The 19038-nt window shown below is 44.2% G+C and overlaps 1 protein-coding gene across 25 annotated transcripts in view, besides 1 other annotated feature; it reads left to right on the forward strand.

Annotated features, from left to right (window-relative positions):
• The window catches only part of AUTS2 (activator of transcription and developmental regulator AUTS2), a 1195032-nt gene that overhangs the window by 841258 nt on the left and 334736 nt on the right, over nt 1-19038 (forward strand). The gene's annotated exons all lie outside the window — the stretch shown is intronic.
• Nucleotides 12614-12737: a silencer, noted in NCBI's record as "fragment chr7:69917332-69917455 (GRCh37/hg19 assembly coordinates)". NCBI's record gives its function as "represses an EF-1alpha promoter that drives an FKBP-Casp9 reporter gene in an ReSE screen in HepG2 liver carcinoma cells {active_cell/tissue: HepG2}" and the evidence as "EXISTENCE:reporter gene assay evidence [ECO:0000049][PMID:32094911]".

Consider the following 19038-nt stretch of genomic DNA (forward strand, 5'->3'; position numbering starts at 1 on the left):
CAAAGAGGCAACATGCAATTGCCAAATATTTGGCCTATATTTTATTGTTTCCTTTCTTTCTCCAGTACTGGCAGCAGCCCATGATGCTAAGAAATATCCCGTTTGGTTATGAAGTTAATGTGGAGATTAAAAGTCATTCCCTGTTCTACCCACACCCTTTTTCTTGTGTATAGCATGTGACTGAGCTGATTGGAAGGCATATAGCCCAGTGGCCAAGCACTTGGGCCTCAGTGTGATGGCTGACACATGTTTCTGACTCTGTCCATTTCTATTTTGTTGTGGACAAGCCTTGGCTTTCTCAGCTGTCAAATGGGGGTGACAACAGCTCTACATATAGTCCTGTAGCAATTAAATGAAAGCATTTAGGGCCAGGCATGGTGGCTTATGGCGGTAATCCCAGCACTTAGGGAGGCCAAGGCAGGACAAAGTGGGCTCTTGTCTTTGAGCCCTAGAGTTTGAGACCAGCCTGGGCAACATAGTGAGGCCCTGTCTCTAAAAAAAAAAAAAAAAAAAAAAATCTTAAAACTTAACCAGGCATGGTGGCATGTGCCTATAGTCCCAGCTAGTCAGGAGGCTGAGGCAGGATGATTGCTTGAGCCTAGGAGTTTCAAGACTGCAGTGAGCTAAGATCATGCCACTACACTGCACTCCAGCCTGAGTGACAGAGTGAGACCCTGTCTCTAAAAAAATAAAAATATATGAAGGCATCTGGCTCAGTGCCTGGTCCATAGTAACTGCTCAATAAATGTTAGCTTTTGTTCATTTTACTTGAGATAAAATGAGAGAGGACGCTTGAAAAAAGAGGAAGACTAGCATCCTCTTTGGAAAGCTGGGGTTCTTCTAGAGAACCTGCTAGAGGGTTTCCCCAGAATCTGAGGCTCAGCCTTTATCCCAAGGGCCCTTCTCCTGGACACAGGCTGAATGGAAGTGTTAAATTTTGAAGGGTTCTGAAACAGTGTCTTTTTAAACCCCTTATCCAAACATCAGGCCTTCCTCTGAGCAGAACCTGGAGCCAAGAGCACGTGTACTGTCCTGGAGGGATCAAATGGTGATTAAGTGAATTGTATAGCTCTTGTCCCTTCAGCAACTGTTCCCAAATGCCAAACACTGTCGGTTCCCAGAAACCCATCACAGGAGAGATGTTCTGGGGTAGGGCCAGAGCATCTGTATTTTTTAAAAAGCTTCCTAGGTAATTTTGGTACACAACTGGTTTTGAGAACTACTGCCTTATAGTAAATGTCAAAGGGAAACATGATTTTTCCCCGTGTTTAATGCTCTTGAAATTTTGACTGCTTAGGAGAAAAACTTGAAAGTTGTGGAGATGTTGCCTGTGTGTGCAGACATGTGCCACCCATGCTTATGTCTGTAGATACCGGGCATAAGTATACATGCAGTACACACATACACAATCTCACAGAAATGAATCCTTCTCCTTTTCCTATCAATCTTTTAACATGACTCCTGATTGCAGTTTTTTCTCTCTGTGCTGTTAGCAGTAGGAACAACCACCTGGAGAAGGTGTTTGTGCTCCTGGGCTTTGCTTTGGTACTGTGTCCTGTACCCAGGACAGCCTACTGGCACAATGGCTAACTGCAAATGCAGTACTACCGATTTTTCACACCTGCTTTCCCTCTTTCCACACACTTTTTGGTGCATTCCCTTTTTTGTTTAGAGACAGGGTCTCGCTCTGTTGCCCAGGCTGGAGTACAATGGCATAATCTTAGCTCACTACAGCCTCGAACTCCTGGACTCAAGCAGTCCTCCCACCTCAGCCTCCCAAGTAGCTGGGACTACAGGTGTGTACCACCATACTCAGATAACTTAAATTTTATTCTGTAGAGATGGAGTCTCACTATGTTGCCCACACTGGTCTCAAACTCTTGGCCTCAAGTGATCCTCCTGCCTTGGCCTCCCAAAGCACTGATATTACAGGCATGAGCAACCATGCCTGGTGTTCATTTTTAAATTCATGCTAAAAGTTGTTGTGTTTGATCATTTTATGTTCACTTGTGTGGGAAGGGGCTTCTAAGAAAAGGAGCAAAGAAAACCAGCAAAGTCTTATGTTCCTAACTCAACACAAACCACATGCCTAACTTGGCTCGTGCAGGAGTCAGAAACTGCTGAGATGTCAAACTGAAGACTGGGCATGTGGTTTGTGCTTACAGTGGAAGAGTCCCATCCCTTGGTTGGCCATGTTTCACACTCGGTAAGGTTTGTGCACCCTCAGCAACATTCCAGAAGCTCAGAAGGCCCTCATTGTTGCTTGTGGAACCCCCAGCCTTAGTTTTCAAATAGGATATATTTTGGTCAGGAGACAGTTTGGAGGTACTGTCCTATTTTGTAGCTAGAAAGGAATATCTCCACCTTTCCAGATTTCATAGCAGCAAAGCAGACAGCCATCACCCAGGGAAAGAGAATGGATCCATGTTCTTGTCTTTATATCCCTAATACTTTGCACAGTGCTTGATATGAATTAGGTGCTCAGTGTTTTGCAAAATTTGCATTTTCTTTCCTGGATACTCATCTCCAAACGGAGGGGATAAGTGAACCAAGTTCAGAAGACTCATACTCAAACCTGATTGCACCTCATACAGTCGCAATGTCTACTTCCTGGACCCCCAAAATGTGTGATCTCTTCCTCAGGCTTCTATATTTCATCTACAGTTTTCTCATACAATATATCTAAGCCATTTATAAGTTTCCTAACTTATAAATAGACAATTTCTTATGGTTCTTGGCTGAGTCTCAGGAGATTTTTAATTTATTTTTGTTTTTTGAAATGGAGTCTCGCTCTGTCACCCAGGCAGAAGTGCAGTGGCGCAGTCTCGGTTCACTGAACCCTCCCACTCCTTGATTCAAGTGATTCTCCTGCCTCAGCCTCCCGAGTAGCTGGGATTACAGGCACCCACCATGCCTGGCTAATTTTTGTATTTTTAGTAGAGACAGGGTTTCACCATGTTGGCCAGGCTGATCTTGAACTCCTGACCTCAGGTGACCGGCCCATATTGGCCTCCCAAAGTGTTGGGATGACAGTCATGAGCCACCGCACCTGGCCTAAGAGCTTTTTATTTTGGATGCGTGATTTCCGTGATGCCCATCTACTCAACCTCTTCTTACCCCTTCAGGATTTTGTCTGGGTTAAAATGACATTTTATTGTTCTTCCAAAATCATCATATTTCCAATTGGCTTAATTACATTGCATACATCCCAAATACACATTGATACTATCCTTGGATTAAATTTCTATGGTAAATTATTTTAAATTCAGAATCTCATTATCTTTTTCATATGATAACATTTTCAGGCAAAACCAAAAATTACTTCACTTATACTGAACATGTATGTACAATAATCTGTTCATTACTACCATGTCATGCACCTGAAAAAGAAGTTATAAATGTACAGATTTTCAATTAAATATAGGTAAGTCAACAGAATAAATACTTGTTATTGGAAATATGTCAGGCATTTTCAGCTAAGGTTTTGTTTCTTGAAATAAACAGTGAGAAGAAAGAACAGGTTCTAGATGTTCTATTGCTCGCAATAGGTGGGTGGTGGAGAAGGGCACTCAGAAGACCCAATTCCTGATTTCTCACTCACCAGCTGTATGGCCTTGGGCAAGTTACCTAATGGTGCCTAGCATTAGTTTTGTCATCTGGAAAATGAGGCAGTATTCAATGATCCAACATTGACTATCCAGATTTTCCAAATAGCTATTTACCTAGGCCCCAACAGCATGGCAGAACCCAGAGGGAAATTAATATGTGATTGTATCTTCCCTTTGCCAATGTGGAAAGAGGATTATATAAGAATTGTCTCCATTCTTTCGTCTCTCTCAGTCTTCCAAGAGAGAATAAACATATAGGGGACATACTCGGGTATATGTGTGTGTACTCTCAAGCAACTGAAGGAAACTTACATACAGACCTGATGTCTAAACAGGGTCCTTATCTGTTTGTTGGTTCAGTCTTTCAGTCATACATATCCACTCATTTTTTCACAAGTGTCTACTGATGAACTGACATGAGAATTATAGTTGCTTAACTCTGATGGAACTGTCACCATGTACCTGTGAGTAAGTAGCAGAGCAGTTCATTTAATCTGTGTTCCTCAACTACTGTAAGTATTTAGGAAAGCATGGGGACTAGGTGGAGAGCTAGCTTACGGAATGTGTTTCAAGAACTCACTTGTTTGGTAATGACCATTACTTGATCTATAAAAGGAATTGTTCCAGAAACATCAAGGTTGAGTGCATGATTCTGTGTTCCCACAGAAAAGTTCCTGCTGCTTCCCCTTGGGTGAATGAGCCATCGCCTTGGGTGTCATGGCTTACCTGAAGGGAAAGTTGTAAAGCCAAGGAGGAGGCTGGGGGAGGTGATGGCTATCAGCCCCATGAAATTGACCATGAGCCCTGAGCCACCTGAATACCAGGAGGGTCATGAGCAGAGGCATTTGTACAGGTGATGTCTTGAACAACATGCTTCATGTTAGTGGCCTCTGATAGAGTGTAACCTGGGAGGCTCTTTGGTTGTCAGAGAATTTGTCTTATACTGTATTAGGGTTGCAGAGTGTTCTGTCTTCAATGAAGATAGAACTTTTTGGTCATGTACGTGTGTGTGTGTGTGTGTGTGTGTGTGTGTGAGAGAGAGAGAGAGAGAGAAAGAGTTAATCCCCCTTGACAACTCCTGGATGGCAAGATAGTTACAGATAAATGCTCCTCAGAACTGTGCCATTCTAGTGTGACAAATATAATCAAATATCTATATTAGGATGTGTTAATAATTATCTAAACTTTATACTTTAAGAAGTCCCCAGATTCAACAAATGAATGGACTTCTGTTTTCTTTTTTAATTAAAGTTACAGCTGGGAAGGTCAAATTGGTTCTCTTTTATACAGGTTAGAGATTTTCCCTATCAGTTTCCATGAGGAGCATGTTGAGAAGTTCTAGCTGTAGACCTGCATGACCTCTTCAGGTACCCGAAGAATAACCCAAAGAAAGCTGGAAGCAGCTTTCTCCCTTGTTGTTCTAAACCAGGCTTGACTCATATACTTACGGAGACAGCCGAATGGGGTCTTTGAAATAAGGAAAGACCAGTAAGCCCTGTGGTGGGTGGTTGTAGTACTCAAGGAGCCCAGTTTGGGCTTCATCTTTTCTTTCTAGTGCTCTTAGTGGTTTTTGAAGTTCCTAATTTCCTGGTCTAAAAATATAGATGCTACTAATGTCTTCGGTCAGTGAAAAACTAAGATTAGGGTCAATAATAGCAACTAAATAGTAATAATAAGCACCACTTCACATGAAAGAGAACATTGCATTATTCAAAACACTTTTAAAAACATCATTTTATAAGATCTGTTTAAGTATTTATTGTAGGGATCTATATATTCTCACATACACCATCGTTGACCATGTGCCAAACTCTCTGTTAGGGCTTTTCAAGGCTTTATCTTCTCAAGCAGGTGTCATTGTTTTACAAATAAGAAAAATGAGGCATAAGTGATGGAGCTGAGATATAAGTTGTGTCTTAGGATTCCAGAATCTGGGCCCTCTTCCCATGCCGTGCTGCTTCCCCGTACGTCAGTGTGAGTTGGGATAAGCCTAGCAGTGCCATTCAGGAGCTCATGCTGTCATCCCCTCTGTGTCTCACCTACTTGTGCTGCAAGAGACCTGGATCCTGTTTATCTATCCACCCTCACCCCCACCCAAACAATTGCACTAACTCCTAAAAATTCAAACATGGCGGTTTCTCAAGAAACATGGAACGAATAAAATTTGGGTCTACTAACAACTTAGATTGTACAGGCTCTTCTGAAGTGGGACTTTTTTCTTATTTTAGCCTGGAATGCAGTTATCCAAGGTGAGAAGGGAAGGGCTATATACAAGGTATATATTTTAACTCTTACAGATGGGTAGCAAAGTCAGCCCATGATTAATTAGGGATGTAGGCTACACCAGTCGGTGGACTTAGCATGAACCATATTTGGACACAGAACTCAGTCTTCCTTTAAGTGTCTGTATATGTGTAAACATTTAATATTTTATTAAATCATAGACTCCCTGAAAGCATCCCATGCCTAGCATGTACTTGACACATACGGCCCTGTAAATATTAGTGTTATACCCAGAAGTTGCTTTATTGGTTATCCAAGTCTCATAAAGGAGAAGGGCCTTGCCTCTGTCACTCAGAAAGCACAGGAAGAGCAGGGCTGGAGCAGAGGAATTTCTTCTGAGCTTCCAGTCCAGAGCCTCATGAACCCCATATGGTCCCTGCAGACCATTTTCTTCCTACGACCCCACACAGGAGAAGGGGCCATGGTTCCATGGTGGCTCCTGCACTGCACCCTCTAAGGTAGTTTTGTTCTGAGTTATAATTCGCCCCCTCAAGAACCCTCTTGTCCATCCCCAGACACTGATTCTCACCCTGACAGAGGTCTGGGTCCATCAGGGCCACAGGGCCTTTTCTTTTTTAACAGCAAATGCTGCGTGGGCTGTTCCTGCAGCCCAAATGATAGTAAATACCTGAAGCAGCCATGTCCATGTTAAAGATTATGTATTTGCCACTAAGGGGAGAATATAGTGTTTATCGGCCGGAGTGCGTGCCGGCTGAGCTGATTACGGCACAACACTCTGTCAGCCAATGATTTGTCCTGTCCTTTATCATCTGTGTCACTCAGCAGTGTGCTGGCGAAGGGAACGGATCACCCCCTTCCCTTTTTTTGTACCCATTTTGTGTAGAAAATTTGTATTTACTTTGGGAGTGTAATTTGTTCCTCATGGATAATGTGACCCTGAGCGGAGCTGGATCATGGGTTAGTTGAAGTGATATTTTCCGCTAATGGTAGTCGTACATCATTGCTGTCAGCTCGGGTTAGGAGGCAAGCACATTACAGCTCCATTTTACCTCTGCAGGCATCTGGGATTATTTGCCATAACCGAGTATGACATGACCGCACTACAGAGTGCATTAAAATTTTACTGGCTTCTCAGGCAAGTTCCCCAGCTCCAGTGTGTGCTTCAGGCAGGCGGTCTGATGGGGAGTCCAAGGGCCCTGACTTCCTGCTCAGAGGTGCTGCGGGCAGTGGCCTAAGCAGGGGCTACTCTCTCCTTGCCCTGAGAAAGAAGCAGGGAAAGACTCTGTGGGGAGCCACCCAGGGGATGTTTATGTCTCTATACGTCCCGGACTGGCAAGTGACTAGCTGCCTTGTGTACATAACCAGGTGCCGCCCACAGTGGCTGCTGCCATCTGCTCTCTCTCCTTGATGACTTCAGCCCCCAGGGTGGATTAGGCAAAAACTCCTTCTCTAAGGAGAGCCCAGGGTAAGTGCAAGTCTCTGCCAAGCCTTGGGCTGATTTGTATTGTTCTTGTCTGCCTACGTTCAGACTGAAGAAAGGAGGCGTAAGTCCTCATTATGGCAGAACCCACGTCCAGCCATGTAGCTGGACTGAGCCTGATAGAGTCTCATCAACCCAGTTAGAAATGTTTGCCAAGGTGTTTTACACATTATCTTATACAGTCCTCACACCAACCCAATGGAGTGTAGGCGTGATTACCTCCATTCTACTTATAAGGAAACTGAGGTTCAAAGGTTCTGTAACTTACATTATACAGCTAATGGTAGCAGAAATAGCCTTCTGACTTCAAATTCTATATGGTTTCTAGTGTTCAGTGCTACAGAGAGATAAAGAAGTAACTATTGTTTAAATAGTGCTTAGATGTGCTATACATATGTTGACTTGTTTAGTCTTCAGTACAATCCTAATAGGTAGGTGCTAATATTATCCCCCATTTACAGAGGTGGGAACTGAATCACAGAGGTATTACCGAACATGCCCAGTCTTGCTCCTGGTTAATGGCAGAGGCAGGTTTCAAACCCAGGTCAGTGTGGCAGTGCTCTTAGCCGCTAAGCTGGACTCTCCCACATGCCACATTCCAATAAGCCTGAGAGCTGATAGGAAAAGACCAGTGAAAACTGTAATACGTTGGAATACAAGGAAATGTTCAAAGAGTATTTTATCACTTTCTGTTGTAACTCTAACATCCAACAAAATATCACTCAAAGAAGATGTTTTGTGATGAGCTTTAATTAATTAATAAGTCCCATTTGCAGTTAGCACATTACTTGCATGCAAATGATGCTTCTAAGGTGCTTGAAAGGTATTTATTTTGATAGGTTAAGACTAAGCAGTCACTCTGGCAAATGCTTTATTCTTTTATATTCTTATTGGAAAGGCTGTAATAAACTTATGTTGAATCATGTTCTTTAAAAGGACAATTTAAGGTTGTCTCCCAGTAATTAGTGGGATATGGATGAGGGCCCATAGGCTGCCATATAGAATAAAATGACTGCAGATTCCATATTGGTGGATTCCGAATGCTGGACACTTGAATGTACTCTCGTGCCTACAGTGTGGACATGACTTTTTGTTCTGACACGGAAATACCCCTTTTTACCTCTCTAGCCGCCTCATCGCTTTCTATTCCAAGCTTGAAATGTTACCCCTCCTGGACAGAATGGACAAGCCATTCTTACCATCACCTGTGTACATGATAGGGTTGTAATTCATGAATTTATTCAATAAGCCAGACATAAAGTGAGTTGTACCTTCAGGGCAGTTTTTTAAATGCTGCAACAGAAGAGCCATAGATAAGCATGGCTTTTCTCACTGAGAAATTTAAAATTAAGTTAGCACACTAAGAATTGTCCTCCCTGCCCCCGCTCCCCTCCTTGGGCTCACAAGCACACACATTGATCTTCCCTGCTAGATTACCATAGGTCCAGGGGATTGACCTTAGTTTCTCCTCTAGCCTTAGATCCAATCACTCAAGTAGTAAAGAATAAGAACAAAAGTATTGATCCAGTCATGGAACAGTAATTATTTCTCTCAGATGGTCGTTTAGAATGCAGCAATAATTTTAAATAATGTATTCCTCAGAGACAGCATGACAACATATGTGGATTATTTAGTTGGTGCGTTTAAGTAAGTTACACTTGCACCCTCACCCCTTTACTGGACGTCCAATGCTGTGCAAGGAGGCCTACTTTAAGAAGAGTAGACATTGAGAAAAATCAGAGTTTACCCAACAAATCAATTACCAAGCAATTGTTCATTATAAAGGGGCTTATCCATTTTCTGTAGCTGGACAAAATAATGGACCTCCACATGCTCACATGCTTACAGTGCAACTCCACCCTTCCGTATGAAGAGACTTCATGAAGTCATTGGATCCTTTTGAAACTCTTAAGTTGTAACAGCTTTGACTGTGTTTATGTTAATAGAGTTACCTTTTAAAGACTCTTTTTGTTTCAAATAACATACATTAAACTAACAAATAATGAAATGTTTAGGCTTTTGGAATTTAAATGTGTTAAAATAACCAAACCATCAGAAGGGCAGAGCCAGGCAACTGGATATCAGAAACAGTGAGCAGAGGGCTAAATGCCCTCCTTGCTTTGTCTCTACTTATTTTTGCCCGTCCACTTGAATCTTGATAATTTCGGAGACTTCGTTTCTCCTTTTGGTAGAAATCATGACCCATCCACTTTTCAGTTTTAGCTACAGGCAGAGAGACTGTCTCTCCTTTTCCACTGCCATTGCTAAGATCCAAGGGAGAGATTCTGACTGGCTGAGATTAGCTCAGGAAAGGATTGTGGGTTGGTGTAACTTAAGCCAGGTGCTTACACCTGGATTGGTCAGTTATGGGTAGAGAGACGGGACCATGTTGTCCAAATGTGCTTCTCTAGAGGTGCCTCTGTACATGGTGCTGGAGTCAGTAGAGAACCCAGAAAGTTAGGAGTTGGGCCTGCAGCAGTGGGTTCTAGGAAGCAAAACCTAATCTTCCTGCCATTTGGATGAGGCACTACTTACAGGCATAAATTCTTGACAGCCATAGAAGCTGCCTGGGTCATCCAAAGTTGACACTTTATAGTGATCACAAAATCTCAAATATGGATACGTATTTACAATTATGTATAATAATTGCCTAAATATTCATAGAGTCATTTTAAGTGCTATTCACAGATTAGTTCTATCTTGCTTAAGCTATTAAAAGCCATAGAAATACACAGGATTTTGTAGAGTGAGAGTTCATGTGTACATGCACTTAGAAAAGTCCAGAATTTATTAATATTTTAAGTACACCTATAGTAGCTAATGAATTACTCCCCTGCCCCACCCAAGTATAAGACAGCCACCTTGAGAGACACAAAGATCTCAAGGAATGTCAATTAGTAAATTACATATCTAGGGTACAAAATGAAACTTCTTTGTCCAAAGGGATTGTGGTCAACCTGGAGAATCCAATTTGCATGCCATGCAGTACTACTTAAACTTCAGCAGGCAGCCTTCCTGAAGTGATGTTCCTAAGACTAGAAAATAGTAACTCACTCATAGCTTCTTTCACTCATGTTTCATTCAACAAATTTAATCCTCACTTGTATGCTAAGCCAAGCACTGTCATGGGAACTAGGGATGGGAAGAAGACAAAGACATAGAAAACCTTCAGGGAAATATGGCCTAATTGAAGGGAAAGCTGAGGTACCTAGATGAATTACAAGACCCCGTAGCGTATGCTGTTTCTGAGGAATGGCATGATGTCTGAATGCAAAAAACTGAGCCATACTCTGTAAGGGAGGAAGCAATTGAGTTAGATCTTGCTGCAGCACATGGAATAGATGTTACTAGGTAGCAAGAATGGGGTAGATCACAGGCAAAGGGGATATCATTTGCAAATAACAGAGTTAGGAAAGGCTTAGCATGTGGAGAGAAGCATGAAAACTTCTGTTTGTTTGGTCAGGGTCCATGGCAGTGTTGGGGGGAAGATGAGACTGTAAACATATGTTGGTATACACAGTTCCATAAAAACAGGCCTTGCACGGCAAGATGAGAGTTTGGACTTGATCCAGATGGAAGCCACTGGGTACCTTATGTAGGTGAATGACACATCAGAATTGACATTTTGGAGGAGGATTCAGGCAGTGGCATGAAGGATGGAGTGAAAGGGGGTGAAAGTTGTCATAATGGGGGATTTGAGAGGTGATAGAGATCTCAACCAAACTAATGTGGAAAGAAGGAGTCTGATTTTAGAGGCATTTCTGAAGTGATGATTTTGTGACCACTGGGAAGGGGGGTCAAGGGAGGAATCGTGGATGACTCAGGTTTCAAGTCAGGCTGACTGGGTCAGTATTGATGATGCCATCAATCACACAGCGAAAGTGGGGGGATGGAGAAAATAGGAGCTCAGGGAGGGGCTTTCAGGACCTTCAGCTGGATGAGGTCAGAAGAGAGTACATATTGATGATGCAGGAGTGATCCCAATTTTAGTTCAGTGTCTGGGAGACAAAACTACCTTAGTAGCAGAGATGGAGCTATAGGGGAATGAGTGGGAGGCCAGCCAGAACACTGGGATTTTGTCTGTGTCTACAGGAATAAATATACGTGGTGATGATAACCATTAAAAACAAAATAAATACTGGGGACTAGTAGAGAGGGAAGGTAGGGAGGAAGGCAAGAGTTGAATAACTATTGGGTACCATGCTCACTACCTGGGTAATGGGATCATTAGAAGCCCAAACCTCAGTATCACTCAATATACCCATGTAACAAACATACACATGTACCCCCGAATCTAAAATAAAAATTGAAATTATTTTTTAAACTACAAAATAACTGTATATTAATCGTAGCACTTGATATTTGTATAGCTTTTTTTTTTACTGTACATATCTTTATTTTTTCATTTGTGGCAAAATACACATAACATAAAATTTACCATCCTAACCATTTTTAAATGTACATTTCAGTAGTAATGGTAAGCACACTCACATGGTTGTGCAACCTATGTAGTTTTTTTATGCCACATGTGTTAAAGTACCATATATAGTTCATTTAAACCTCATAAGAAACACCCTGGATGAAAGGATGTTAAATATTTATTTTAGAAATGAGGAACTTTGAAACGGGATGAACTGAAACAAAGTCGTAATGCTTTGGTGATAATATCCCCATGCCTTCTAGGGTCAGTATTGGGGTTATACCACAGTATCCTTAGTGATGATATTTTAACATCTAACTTCCAGTGGACCAAACAGTAACTCACTTATAGCCTGAGATCCTATTGCTTTCCTTAAGGAAACTGGAATGGAATCAGCCCCACAGCATGAACTGGGCCACCCAGCAGCAGCCAGGTCGCCGCTCTGAGAGGTCTGGTTCTGAGGGGCTCTGTGGGAGTAAGACAGCATGAGGCCATATAGCTTTGGATATAGGAAACGCCTAGAAAGGTAGAGAGATATGATACCACACTTCCAGCTCTAGCAACATAGTGCTGTGTGACTGCGGCCTTGGGCAGTTTACTAATGCTTCTAAGCTTCTGCTTTTGTGTTTTTTTGTTTTTGTTGTTGTTGTTGTTTTTCCTTTTAAAAATCTAGATATAAAATACCTAGAATTATATGGCCCATAATAGTAACTACTCAGGTCAGGCACTGTGACTCACACCTGTAATCCCAGCACTTTGGGAGGCCAAGGTGTAGACCAACCTGAGTAACATGGTGAAACCCCATCTCTACAAAAAAAATAAAAATTAGTCAGATGTGGTGGCAAGTGCCTGTAGTCCCAGCTAATTGGGAGGCTGAGGGAGGAGGATTGCGTGAGCCCGGGAGGCGGAGGTTGCAGTGAGCTGAGATTGCACCACTGCACTCCAGTCTGGGCGACAGAGCAAGATCCTGTCTCAATAATACTACTATTAATAATAATAAGGATTCAGTAAATTTTACATTTCAGTCCCTTCCACCCTGTTTCCTCCTGCTGGTCCCCCACCATTGACCGACTTACCCTGCAAAAAACCATAACACACATTAGCAAGATTCATTTATTACAGCCAAATCAGCACCCCAGGATCAGGCCTTTTAGGAAATGGGATCCAAAACATAAGTGTCTTAAAGAGGTAGAAGATCAGAGGGCTTTGAAACATGGCCATGTCATCAGTCTGAAATTTAGAAAGAAGTTCCCTGTGGCAAGAGAATCCGCAGGAAATCACTAAGCTTTGGAGGCCCAGGATATACCCAGTAAAGCACAGGCGGTGGGCCCCCAAGGGAAGATGGACAGCAAAGACAGCCTTTATAATCTGAGTAGATTTCACCCATGTCCCCCTCCACCTAAGCTCTGGTTTTCCTTTAGAGGAGGCTTTTAACTTAATTCCTGTTGAATTTACTAATGTTGTGTGGTGTGAGATTTTAAGTATCTTCTCCAGCCTCCTGGGCCCCTCTCTCCTCCCCTGTCCCTTCCCCACCTCCCTATCCTGTCTTGAACTTCCAACCCCAAGAGCTCTTCTTTACACTGTTTGCTAAAATGGAGCCTCTTGTGTGATGCATACCCAGGAGGTGAAGCTTTCAGGGGTCCTAATGTGTGCTTCAGGATAAGGGCACCATGGGTCCCCTGCCTGCCAGTGTGCCCCTCAAAGAATGTGGGCTTTGGCAACATGGCATTAATTCACTGCCAATGAAACAATGATGGGAATTTTAATGATAGCGTTGCTGTCTAAAAGATGACGGGGGAGACTTCTCAGCGTCTGTGATCCAGAAAACACACTTTCTAGTAAGTATCTCTTATGGTCAGAAGTGAGAGTGAAATCTCTGTCAGTCCTTCCTAAGCATTACCTTGGCAAGCGCTACAGAGCAATGTAACATAGGATGTGTTCAGTTTAAGTAACAGAATGCCTGATAGTGGCTTTGTCCGTGTATTAGTTTCCTGTGGCTGTTCTAATGAATTATCACAAACTTGGCGGCTTAAAACAGTAGAAATGTATCTTCTTGGCATGCTGGATGCTAGAAGTTAAGCATCAGTTTCACTGGGCCAAAATCAAGGCATCAGCAGGGCCACATTCCTCCCAGACGCTCTAAAGGAGAATTGTTCCTTGCCTTGTCCAGCTTCTGGTTGCCACCAGCATTCCTTGGCTCTGGCAGCATCATTCTCATCTCTGCCTCTGTCTTCATGTGGCCTTTTCCTCTTTCGTGTGTCTCATCTCCGCCTGCCTCTCTCCTATAAGGACACTCGTGGTGGCATTTAGGGCCTATCCAGATAATCCAAGAAAATCTCACTTCGGGATTCTTAATTAGTCCTATCTGCAAAGATACTTTTTCCTTGTAAGGTAACATTTGCGGGCCTTACAAAACACATTCAAGGCAGACAAGGAGACAGGCGGTCATGTGTCCTGTATGTCCCCTTGGCTAGAAGAGTCCATTCCTAAGTGTGAGAGAGAAAGGAAAAGCAAAGATCTGGCAAAGAGGGGCAAGGATTTCCATGACCCATCATGATTGTCCCCTGTGGGTTGGCGTTGTGCTGTCTTCTGTTAGCAAGAAAGAGGCGGAGGACATAGTTTGTGGGTGGTCGAAGAACTATGACTGCCACCAAGGATGCGGGCTTCCACACCCCCAGTGTGTCAGACAAAAAGATCTGAATGGGGGTCTCTCTTTTTTTGGGGAAGGTAACGCTGTTTTTTAACGCTATTAAAAATCTAGATATAAAGGCCAGGTGTGGTGTCTCACGCCTGTAATCCCAACACTTTGGGAGGCCGAGGCGGGTGGATCACCTGAGGTCAGGAGTTCGAGACCAGCCTGGCCAACATGGTGAAACCCCGTCTCTACTAAAAATACAAAAAAATTAGCTGGACGTGGTGGCAGGCACCTGTAATCCCAGCTACTCTGGAGGCTCAGGCAGGAGAATCGCTTGAACCCAGGAGGCAGAGGTTGCAGTAAGCCGAGATCACGCCATTGCACTCCACCCTGGGTAACAAGAGTGAAACAAAAAACTCCATCTCAAAAACAAAAAATAAAAATTTATATATAAAATACCTAGAATGATGTGGCCCGTAATAGTAACTACTCGGGCCGGGCACGGTGACTCACACCTGTAATCCCAGCACTTTGCGACTGAGCGTTTCCCTGCTCAGTCACACTGATAAACCACCATCGCCTTTGAGTTTCTAACTCTGCCTATCTCTGGAATCCACTGAGGAGGAAAGTGGGCTTAAGGTTTGGTCTTGGATTCTGAAGGTGCAGACCTCATCACCACCTGCTGCTGTGCAAAGCACACTACTGGACCTCTCTAGAACCTCAGCAAGAATTCATACCTCCCAAGGCTGTGGCAAAGATGAAATGCAGGCCTCGGGAGTGCTTTGAGCTCTAGACCATTCCACGAGCTGCTGTTCCTGTTGTCACTGGACAGTAGGGCCCACTGCTGCTTCATAGCCTAAAGCCAGGTGGAGGGAGTCCAGTACCCTTGTTGATTCTTTGCTTCCCTTTCCCTTGTCAGCCACACCCACCACACAGACTTCCACATACCCATGTGTTGTTGTTGTTTGTTTGTTTATGTTCGTTTGCCAGTTCTGACTTAGGAGCAAGCCTTTGGTGCTGAAGTTGGTACTGTTCTCACTCCTGAATGTAATGCCCATAATGGATGGAGAATGTCAGGGGAATTGTGGGTAATAGTAAGATTACTGTCATATTCCCAAACCCTGGGGTGGGTGGGAAGAAGCCCCTAACCATGCAGCTTTATTTCCACTGTGCTTGTGGTGGGGCCTGGACCACCTTATTCCTGGTGGCCTTCATCTTGGGTGCTACAGGTGGCAATGGCAAGGACTGAAGTGGGGAGAGTGAAGATGCCCGCAGCATCTGTGCCTGGCCCTGGCTCATTCGTCTGATTGGATTGTTAGCAAGCCAAATATGACCTGGCCTGCAGGGTACAAGAAGACATGGAATACCTGGTAGGCAGCTAGATAGGAACGCGGGACTTCCCAGCAGCTGAGCGTGGAGAGGTGGTTCCCTACCTGGCTACACATCACAGTCACTCAGAGTGCTGTGCTCAGAGAGGCACTTTGGCAATACCCTGGACATTCCGATTCAGAAGTTTCTTAGGCAGGTGTGGTGGCTCATGCCTGTAGTTTCAGCTACTTCAAGAGGCCAAGGTGGGAGGATCACTTGAGGCCAGGAGTTCAAGGCTGCAGTGAGCTGTGATCATGCCACTGCACTTCAGCCTGGGTGACAGAGTGAGACTCTGTCGCTACAATTAAAAAAAAGAAGTTTCCAGGTGAGGTACAGGAATCTATATTTCTAAAAGCAACCCTGGGACTACTGATGCATAGCCTGCCTGGCAAATACACAGTTTTTAGGAGAAAACCATGAGCTTTGGGGTCAGGGAAACCTGTTTTTGGTAACAGCTGTGCTACTTACTAGCCATGTGAGCTTTGTCAGTCACCTACCGGCCTCTAAACTTCAGTATCCTCAGCTTTAAAGCTAGTGTGGTACTAATACCTGCCTCACAGGATTGCTGTGAGGATGTAATAAGATGTTTATGCACAGGTTATATGTATGCACATCATGGTGCTTTAAAAACCCTCAACTTCCCCCTAACCCAGCACGGAAGTTCAAGGGCAGACTGGCCCACTGGCTTTGGCTCTGGTGCCCCCAGCCACTTCCCACCAACTCCATCCATGTAAGATTTACATAGCCATGGCCAAATTGTTACTGCAATTAACAATCACACCTAAAAGCTTTTACTTTTACTTTTACTTTACTTAAAGGGAACTCTTAAAGAGTGTTTACTTCATATCATTAGCAAATCATTGTTAATTCTTGTGATACTCACCGTAATAACATCTATCCAAATGAACATGTTTGCTCTTAATGCGAGTGTCATGTGCAATTTGGGAGAAATTCTGTTGTCATTTAGCATTAATTAATGCCCACTTACTGTAAAGTGTTCAGAGACACCAATATCAGCGAGATTTCCAGACCACATAGACAGGACAGAAGAGCTGGGAAGGGGCCAGAAGCCACTAGCAGGGCTGCACTGTGACTGAAGGCAGTGGCCCTGGGCACACTTCTCTGCTGAGGGCAGGCAGGCCAGCCTTCTGGCTGGAGGATCTAGGTGTCCACCCATAGGTGTTCAGAGCACACAACTGGGCCATCCCAGCCTGGCTCCACTCACTGTGGCTGGAAGGGGTTCTGCCTCTCCATCCCCAGCCCTTCAATCCCACACAACCACCTCTGATGACCTCTCCTCCCAGCTGCAGCCACCTTGGATGTTGATTTTTAACCTGATTTCACCTGGCTGCACATGTCAGCTGGTGGGCCCTGGAGTGTGAAGTGTGACTTGCTTGGGCCCCTGCAGCCTTGCCTCCCTGCAGCGACTTCCTGCAGTTTGACTTTGGGGCAGCGGCTGCCGGAGAAGCCTGAAAGTTGAGCTCAGGAAGTCATCTTCATCTCCACCCCCAAGCAGGTGCTTGATCAGGACTGTTTATTAATGTGTTCTATTTTCTCAAATGCGTCCTCCAAAACAGAGTGTGTGTGAGATACTACTCCTGTGCCTGGGACAGTCAGTGTGACAGTGAACAGTGCTGCTCTAGGTGTGGGGACACAGCCTTACGTTCCCTTTCTTCCAGGCAGCTCAGTGTAGTGGAAACTACAATAACTGACCGGGGCTGTGCCCACCAGCTGTGTGAGGGGGCCTCAGTTTTCCCACCTGTAAACGGGGCTCACTTTACCCACCCCGTGGAATGGTTTAATTAGGTGTGATGAAGTCCTGCATGCCACAGGTGGTGCTTAGTAGCCATCGCCTTATTAAAAATGCCAGTGATCACCGAGGATCATGATTTCCCTCCCCTTGTGTCCACACCTCAGACACGTCCTCTCTCCTTCTGGAGGGGTAGGAACAGAGGAACAGTGCCTCTCACCTGAGGAGGGAACTTCTCTGAATCCACCAGGAAACCCAGTCACAAATCACACAGAAGCAGTGTTCATTTTTTCTGTCCACAACCAATATGACTAAAGTACGGTGGAAAGACAAGTATTTTTTGTCCTGGTGAGGAAAGGTGCCTTGATATGTACTTTTTTTCTGCCTTGTGGATGGACTGCATTGGACAGAGGTGGGGGTGGTGGAGGGAGTGGAATTTACCATGGTGGTACAAATGAGTCAGTCTGCTCAATAGGGATGTGTCCCATACAGAGCCGCAGATGCCTGGTTTAAAAGACTCAGGCTGCAGTTAACTATGCTAAACTCAAATTTTACTGAGTGGAATTTAGTCTTTCTCTGATGATTAAAAGGCCCTTCAGAATCTTCTGAGCCGTTTTGTTGAACAGTGCTTTTTTGTTACTTCCTGGGTGTAGGAAATGGTGGGGAACAGAGGGTTTTGCTGGAACACCCACTGGACTTGTGTGTCCTCCTCTCGGTTTCTAAGGGCCCCTCAGGCCACACGCCTCCCATTTCCAAGAGAGTGAGAGGGGCCTAGAAAAGGCTGAACACAAAGCCCCACAACCGCCAAATTCCCTTTCAAGGGTGTTACTTAGTAAACATGAGCCCTTGAGCCCACATTCTTCCAGACTGTGTCTGCCTCAGGCCACCCCTCCTTCTAGAAGGAGCAGTGGGGGCCCTGGCAGGAGGCTGCCGGCTCAGCCTGGAGTGGCCCACAGCAATGCTCCAATTCACAGTGAAATGATTTCCTCTGCCTCGTATAATTTAACCTGCCCACATTGCTAAACTTCTATATTACACATTTCTGTCAGGATGTCAGAAGAAATGATAAGCCTCCTTGAAACAGCAACCTCTATTACATGCTAAGAGCATTGCGCCTGGCTCCCCCCAGCTCTGGTCCTTCTGGTATGTTTCTGAGATTTTTAGCATGGTCTCTCAAGTATAAAGAATACCCTACTTCATGACCCCAGCCTCTTGTTAGCTGATAGATGAAATCTTTTCTAAAGCTGACTCTCTTGTCTATTATGTTTTCAAAATTCAAGGTTTTAGATTCTTGGATGGCTGCCAAGTGGCCGGGCTTTCTTAGTAGGTGAATTGCTCCTCTCTTTTTTTGATCCTTAAACAGGAAGTAGTTGTTTTTTAGGGTGGAGGGAAGCGGGAGGCATGTTCCACCTCCCTTCTCCCTTTGTTGATGTTTCCAGGCAATTGGTGGGGAATTTTTTCAGGAATTTCTCCTCGGGGACCATACTTTAGGAATAAACCCAAACACGGAAAAGCCATTTCCTTGTCTGGTGG

This window comes from Homo sapiens, chromosome 7 (genome assembly GCF_000001405.40).
Source record: "Homo sapiens chromosome 7, GRCh38.p14 Primary Assembly".
In the NCBI taxonomy this organism is placed as follows: domain Eukaryota; kingdom Metazoa; phylum Chordata; class Mammalia; order Primates; family Hominidae; genus Homo; species Homo sapiens.